Genomic DNA, 7,187 nt, shown 5'->3' with positions numbered 1-7,187 from the left:
GTGTACTCTGCCACTCAGAAAAGAAAATAAGAAAGTTAACTGTGTACTCATAAGGAAGGATCTCCAAGATACGTATTTAAGAGAAAGGTGAAAAAAGCAAATAACGGAGAAGCATTTTTCATATTAAAAAATAAAAGATGATATGTGAATATCATATATATACTATATATAGTGTGGATATGTATATACATAAACTATACACACTATATATACACATATACATATACACACTATATATAGTATATATATGTGTATATATACACATATACATATACACACTATATGTAGTATATATATACACATATACACACTATATATAGTATATATACATATACACACTATAGTGTATATATATACACACTATATATAGTATATATATACACATATACACACTATATATAGTGTGTGTATATATGTATATACACCATACACACATACATTTTGCTTATGTATGCACAGGATATTTCTAGAAGAATACCAAAGAAATTGGTTCATTTGTTGCTTCAGGGATAGAGGTAGGGGGAAGGTGGTAAATGGAAAAAGGGAGACATTTCACTGTTTATCCTTTTGTATTTTTTGGAATTTGGACCATGCGAAAGTATTACCTATTCAAAACATTAATGGGTCAGGCATGGTGGCTCACACTTGTAATCCCAGCACTTTGGGAGGCTGAGGCAGGCGGATCACTTGAGGCCAGGAGTTTGAGAAACCCTATCTCTATTAAGAATACAAAATGATTGGGGCATGGTGGTGCATACCTGTAATCCCAGCTACTCAGGAGGCTGAAGTACGAGAATCGCTTGAACCTGGGAGGCAGAGGTTGCAGTGAGCTGAGACTGTGCCACTGCATTCCAGCCTGGGCAACAGACTGAGACTCTGTCTCGAAGAGGGAAAACAACAACAAAAAAACCATTAACAGAGGATCCTTCCTACTTCAGAGCTTCCTATACACTGTTTCCACTGCTGGAGGTGTTCTGATGTTGACTGACTTACACACACACACACTCCTCCTGGAAGTATTTTATCTTTCAGATCTCTGTTCAAATGTTACTTCCTCCAGGAAGTCTTACCTATCACCTCCACCTCCTCCACAGAAAGGGAGCTGTTATACCCATTCATGGTACCTTGTGAGATTTATCACAATGGGTATCAATTAATAATTAACATCTATCTTCCTTGCTGGAGGTACCAGAGGGACTAGTCTGCCAATGAACCCCAGGCACCAAGTCCAGCATATGCCACATAAGACACGCATCTCAGAGACTTTCTTCTGTTGGAAGGGAGGGAAGAAAATAGGAAGAAATAACCACAGTTACACTCCCATCATGAGCCAGACAGTTGTCTATGTGCTTTATGCAGATTAGCACATTAAATTCTCACAAGAGAGTTGTGATTCTTGCACAGATGAAAAAAACAGGCTCAGAGAGACCAAGCAACCTGCCCAAGATCCCCAGGCAGAGGCATGATTCAAACCAGGCAGGCTGGTTCCAGAGCCTATGCTCTTGGCTCCTAGAAGGGAAAACAGAAGAAAGGGAAGAAGAGGAGAGAGGGAAGAAGAGAGGAGGTTGCTCACAATATCAGGAGGATGCATTTTTCTGCTGTCTCCAGTTCAGTATCTCACAAGACCAGCAAGCCTTCCAGTCTGGGAAGTTATAAGAACATCATTGTATTACTCCATTTTCATACTGCTGTAAAGAACTGCCTGAGACTGTGTAATTTATAAAGGAAAGAGGTTTAATTGACTTACAGTTCAGCATGGCTGGGGAGGCCTCAGGAAACTTACAATTGTGGCAGAAAGTGAAGAGGAAAACAATGCATCTTCTTCACAAGGCAGCAGGAAGGAGAAATGCCGAGCAAAGAGGGAAGCGTTCCTTATAAAACCATCAGATCTCGTGAGAACTCACTGTCATGAAAACAGCGTGGGGGAAACTGCCCCCATTATTTAATTATCTCCACCTGGTCTCTCCCTTGACATGTGGGGATTATAGGGAATGTAATTCAAGATGAGATTTGGGTGGGGACACAAAGCCTAATCATATCAACCATTAATGGGGATTCTGTAATGTATATGAAACATGAAACACTTGCAGACTGACACTACTGGACCTCAACAAAGAGACAGCAGACTTGAAGTATGACAGCTGTCTTATCTAGAGGAGCAGGTAACATGCATTGTAGATAAATACACTATCTGATGTGGGTTAATAGGCTTCATTGAATTAACGATGACAGAATAATTACAGCGACATGCAACAGCAGCAGGGACTCTAATTGAGGATAATTCAAGCACACGGCAAGATCGGAAGTTTTGACTTTAGGACTTGGAAACTTCCCTGAGATTGGAGATTTATTATATCTATTATTTTAAATCAACAATATTCACCATTGGCAAGGTGCAGTGTCTCACACCTATAATCCCAGCACGTTGGGAGGCTGAGGCGGGCAGATCACTTGAAGTCAGGAGTTCAAGACGGGCCTAGTCTGTTTAGTAAAGATGGTTAAACCTTGTCTCTACTAAAAATACAAAAATTAGCTGGGTGTGGTGGCATCTGCTTGTAATCCCAGCTACTCGGGAGGCTGAGTCAGGAGAATCACTTGAACCTGGGAGGCGGAGTTTGCAGTGGGCTGAGATCATGCCACTGCACTCCAGCCTGGGTGACTGAGCAAGACTCCATCTCAAAAAACAAAAACAAAATAGTATCCATATCTACCATAGCATGTCTGAGCTCTCTGCAAGTCAATGGGAAGTTATCCACAGGACAGGATTTCCTTACTTTTACTTGTTAATAAGAGAAATGGAAGGGAATGGGAAATCAGAAAAGCAGAGGCATACCAATTTTTGCCATTTCTCCTCACATAGAATTTGTTCCTCATCTTAAAGGCTTGGACAGGATGCTGAAAAGTATAAGAGAATGGGGATTACATTCAGGTAATCACAACAGCAATAATAATAGTTATCATTTATTGAACCTTTACCTCCAAACAGCATCTAAAGTAAGCACTATTTATACCTTAGCCCACTGAATTCCCAAACTAATTTTGTAGAGTGGGAACAAATGTGTTTGCCCATTTTATGGGTAAGACAACTGAGGCTCTGAGAAGTAAAGTGATTTGCCTAAGCTAGGAAAATGCAGAAGTTAAGAAATGAAAGCATTAGAATAATACCCAAGAAGGGGTCATTTCTGAAGGAGGAGATGGATTCATGAACAAACAAGCAGGCAGGCCAATATGTAATTTGTTGATAAGCATGAATATATTTAATTAAATAAGGATCTACTGGATACCTGTCACAAGCCCAGTGCAAGGTCCTTGTGGCAGATGGTTTTTTTCCAAAGGTGGCCATAGTGATATCTCCCATACCACATGCTGTCATAATGTGACCTTTTATTTCTCGTGTTGAGTGATGAAGTCCATGATCCCTCCCCTTTTAACCTTAGAAACTGCCTCAATCATTAAGATTACAGCAGAAAATATGCTATTTGATTTCCAGGGCTAGAACATAAAAAGCATATGCACTTCCTCCTTTTTTTCTTGAGCTACTCACTGTTGGACCCCAGCTACTATGTTGTGAGGAAGTCCAATTAGCCCACCTGAAGAGACCACCTAGGGAGGCCACATGCAGACGTTTTGGCTAACTGGCTAGCTGAGGTCTCAGCTAACAGTGAGTATGAAATACAGGCATGTGACAGAAGATTCCTCTAGATGCCTTTAGTCCCCAGCCATCAAGTCACCCTCAACTTTTGAGTTTTCCCAGCTGAGTCCCCAGACATCATGAGGCAGAGCAAGCCACCCTCTCTGGTCTGATTCTTGACCTACAGGATCTGTGAGTGTAATAAAATTGTGGCTTATAGCACTAAAAATTGGTGTGATTTGTTACCCAGTAATAGCAACTGGAAGAGCCCTCATATATTTTTAATACAAAAAAAAAGTGTGTGAAACAGGACCTGCCCTTCTGTTTAATTTGGAAAACAAGACTTCTATAACAATGTTATTTACAAAATGTATCTTATAATAGCCAAAAGGTGGAAATAATCCAAATGTCTGTAAACAGATAAATAAACAAAATGGGGTCTATCCATACAATGGAATGTTATTTAGCCATAAAAAGAAATGAAGTACTGATATATTCTACGACAGAAATGTAGAAATTAGAAATTAGAAAACACTGTGTTTCGTGAAAGAACCAAGACACAAAAGGCCACATATTGTATGACTCCATGTGTATCAAATACCCAGAATGGGCAAATCCATAGAGACAGAAAGTAAATTAGTGGTTGCCAGAGGCTGGGGGACAGGAGTGAAAGAGTGGCTGCTTAATGGTAGAGGTCTGGGGTTGGAGGGTGATGAAAACATCCTAGAATTAGACAGTGGTGATAGTTGAAAAATCTTGAGAATACACTAAGACCACTAAATTATACACTTTTAAATGGTGAGTTTTATAAGACATGAATTATATCCCAATGTAAAAAAAAGCAATGTGCCATATTAGGACCTTCTGTGAGGGTGGAAACTCATCAGCTTTGGGGTCAAGTAGATCTGGGTTGTTGTCCAGGGACTACCAGTGCCTAATTGTATGGACTTGAGCAAGTTTCTCAGTACCCAAGGGCTCAGATTATCCATCTGTGAAATGGGAATAGTAAGACTCACTTTGCAAGGCTGCTGTCAGGATTAATGATTGTCTTTATCAAAGATGGTAACAGAAACTCACTCGAGCAGCATAAGCCAAAATAAGCATTTTATGAAAGGAATCAGGGACATTTTACAGAAGCCCAGGTCACTAAGAACAATTTGGCCACATAAGAAACTTGAACCAGGAATTTAAAATATATCAAAAGCCAAGGTTGATATTCTTTCTGGCGTATATGTAGTGAACAGAGAAATTTCTTTCAAATTATTCATTCGTGGAAAATCAAGATTTGGCATTGCATTTTAAAGTTAATCCATTAGAGTCACTTAGTTATTTGCAAAATAACATTTTGGTAAAGGAGAATTTATTTGAATCTCAAATAAGAAAAGGTTCAATACCCTACCTGGTAGAGCTGGAAAACAGTTAATGATCACAGGCTTGGAACACAAAATCAACCTCCTGTAACAAATTTAGTTTATGACTTTAAAAGGAAAAATGGACTTTTCTACAATAAACATTCAAACAAACATGGTTCAAACAAACATGGTTTCCAATAATAAATGTTTTTAAATCTCAAGGTCATAATAAATCAGTCCTGGGACTCTTAAAGCAAACTTTTTTATAGTATAGGAAAATGCTTTCCTATTTTATAATCAAAATTAGAAGGAAACTAGACTCTATGTTGACAAGAGACAAACTTACACATAGACTTTAAGTTAATTCTTTAGGGTAGTTGCCTTAATAGCCATTGACCTTCTTTATTAGTCTGAAGGAGTGATTCTCAGCTCTAGCTACACATTGAAATCACTGAGTACCTTTTTAAAAATACCAATGTCACCGGCCGGGCCCAGTGGCTCACATCTGCAATCCCAGCACTTTGGGAGGCCAAGGCGGGTGGATCACTTGAGCCCAGGAATTCAAGACCAACCTGGGCAACATAGTGAGACTCTGTCTCTCCAAAAAATTCAAAAAATTAGCCAGGCATGGTGGCACATGCTTGTAGTCCCAGCTACTTGGGAGGCTGAGGACAGGTGGTTGTAAGCTTCTATTTCTCATGTTGAGTGATGAAGTCTATGATCCCTTCCACTTGAACCTTAGCAACTGCCTCAATCATTAAGATTAAGATTACAGCAGAAAAGATGCTATTTGACTTCCAGGGCTAGAGCATAAAAAATCATAGGCATGTCCTCCTTGCTTTCTGGAGCCACTCACTCTTGCACACCAGCCACCATGTAGTGAGGAAGTCCAACTAGCCCATGTGAAGAGAACACCTGGGGAGGCCACACGCATACATTTTGGTTAACTGGCTGGCTGAGGTCCCAGCTAACGGTGAGTATTAGAAGGATCGCATGAGCCTGGGAGGTCGAGGCTGCAGCGAGCCGTGTTCGTGCCACTGCACTCCAGCCTGGGCAACAGAGTGACCCTGTCTCAAAACATAAAATTAAATTAAAAACAAATAAAATACTAATGTCCTGATCCCACTCAAAAAGTCTGATTTAATCCGTATGAAGTAGGGCCTGGCACGTTTGACGAACAAGCAAGGAGGCAGGAATGGCTGCAGCGGAGTAAGCAATGGCGAGAGGGACGGGAGATGAGGCCATTGAGGCTAGGGCAGGTGTGTCCTGGCATGCCAACGTGAGGGCTTGGGATTTTCATCTAAAGAAATGGGGAGCCATCACGGGGACCACTTGGCTAAAGTAGCAAAAAACCAACTCAAATCAGTCCAAGAAAAGTGGGAAGTTATTGGCTTTTCTAAGTCTAGATAGAGCTGATTTAAAGCTCAACATTATATTATGTCTCTCTCTTTCTCTCCCCCACTTCAATGTCCCTCTCCCTCTCCCTCTCAATGACTTTCCATCTTTTGGCTCGTTCTCCCTATAGACGAGATTTCTCCTCATGGTATAGGAGACAGCCCCTGGCAGTCCCTGACTCACTTCTTTCAGCCCCATTATTCAAAAGCCAAGACCCTGTCTCTCACAGCTCTGTATTAAAGAACAAAAAACATTCTGAATAGGTGATTGGCTTAGCTAAGGTCACGTGCCCATAGCTGGACCAATCCACATGGCCAGGATATTGGGGAACTCTGATTGGCCTGGTCACTTGCCCAGTCCTTCTACGGGAGTGAGGGAGAAGGCAGGATGCTGGGACTGGAAATTATCAGGACTGATGTGGGTAAAAGAAAGTGAGGCCGGGTGCAGTGGCTTACGTCTGTAATCCCAGCATTTTGGAAGGCTGAGGTGGGTGGATTATCTGAGGTCAGGGGTTCGAGACCAGCCTGACCAACATGGTGAAACCCCATCTCTGCTAAAAATACAAAATTAGCTGGGTGTGGTAGCACACACCTGTAGTCCCAGCTACTTGGGAGGCTAAGGCAGGATAATCGCTTGAACCCGGGAGGTGGAGGTTTCAGTAAGCCGAGATTGCGCCACTGCACTCCAGCCTGGGCAACAAGAGTGAAACTCCGTCTCAAAAGAAAAGAAAAGAAGAGAGAGAGGGAGAGAGAGAGAGAGAGAGAAAGAAAGAGAGAAAGAAAGAGAAAGCGAGAAAGAAAGAGAGAGAG

At 41.3% G+C, this 7,187-nt stretch overlaps 1 long non-coding RNA gene across 1 annotated transcript; it reads right to left on the bottom strand.

Annotated features, from left to right (window-relative positions):
- Window positions 1-2,195: 2,195 nt before the first annotated feature.
- LOC124903652 (uncharacterized) lies at window positions 2,196-5,091 on the bottom strand. Its single transcript, XR_007065006.1, has 2 exons — window positions 5,031-5,091; window positions 2,196-2,895 (listed from the first exon to the last, which is right to left on the bottom strand). It is a non-coding gene; the product is annotated as an uncharacterized LOC124903652 (long non-coding RNA).
- Window positions 5,092-7,187: the final 2,096 nt, after the last annotated feature.

Source organism: Homo sapiens, chromosome 16, assembly GCF_000001405.40.
Source record: "Homo sapiens chromosome 16, GRCh38.p14 Primary Assembly".
Classification (NCBI taxonomy): Eukaryota; Metazoa; Chordata; class Mammalia; order Primates; family Hominidae; genus Homo; species Homo sapiens.
This window is presented reverse-complemented; position numbering and strand designations above follow the sequence as displayed.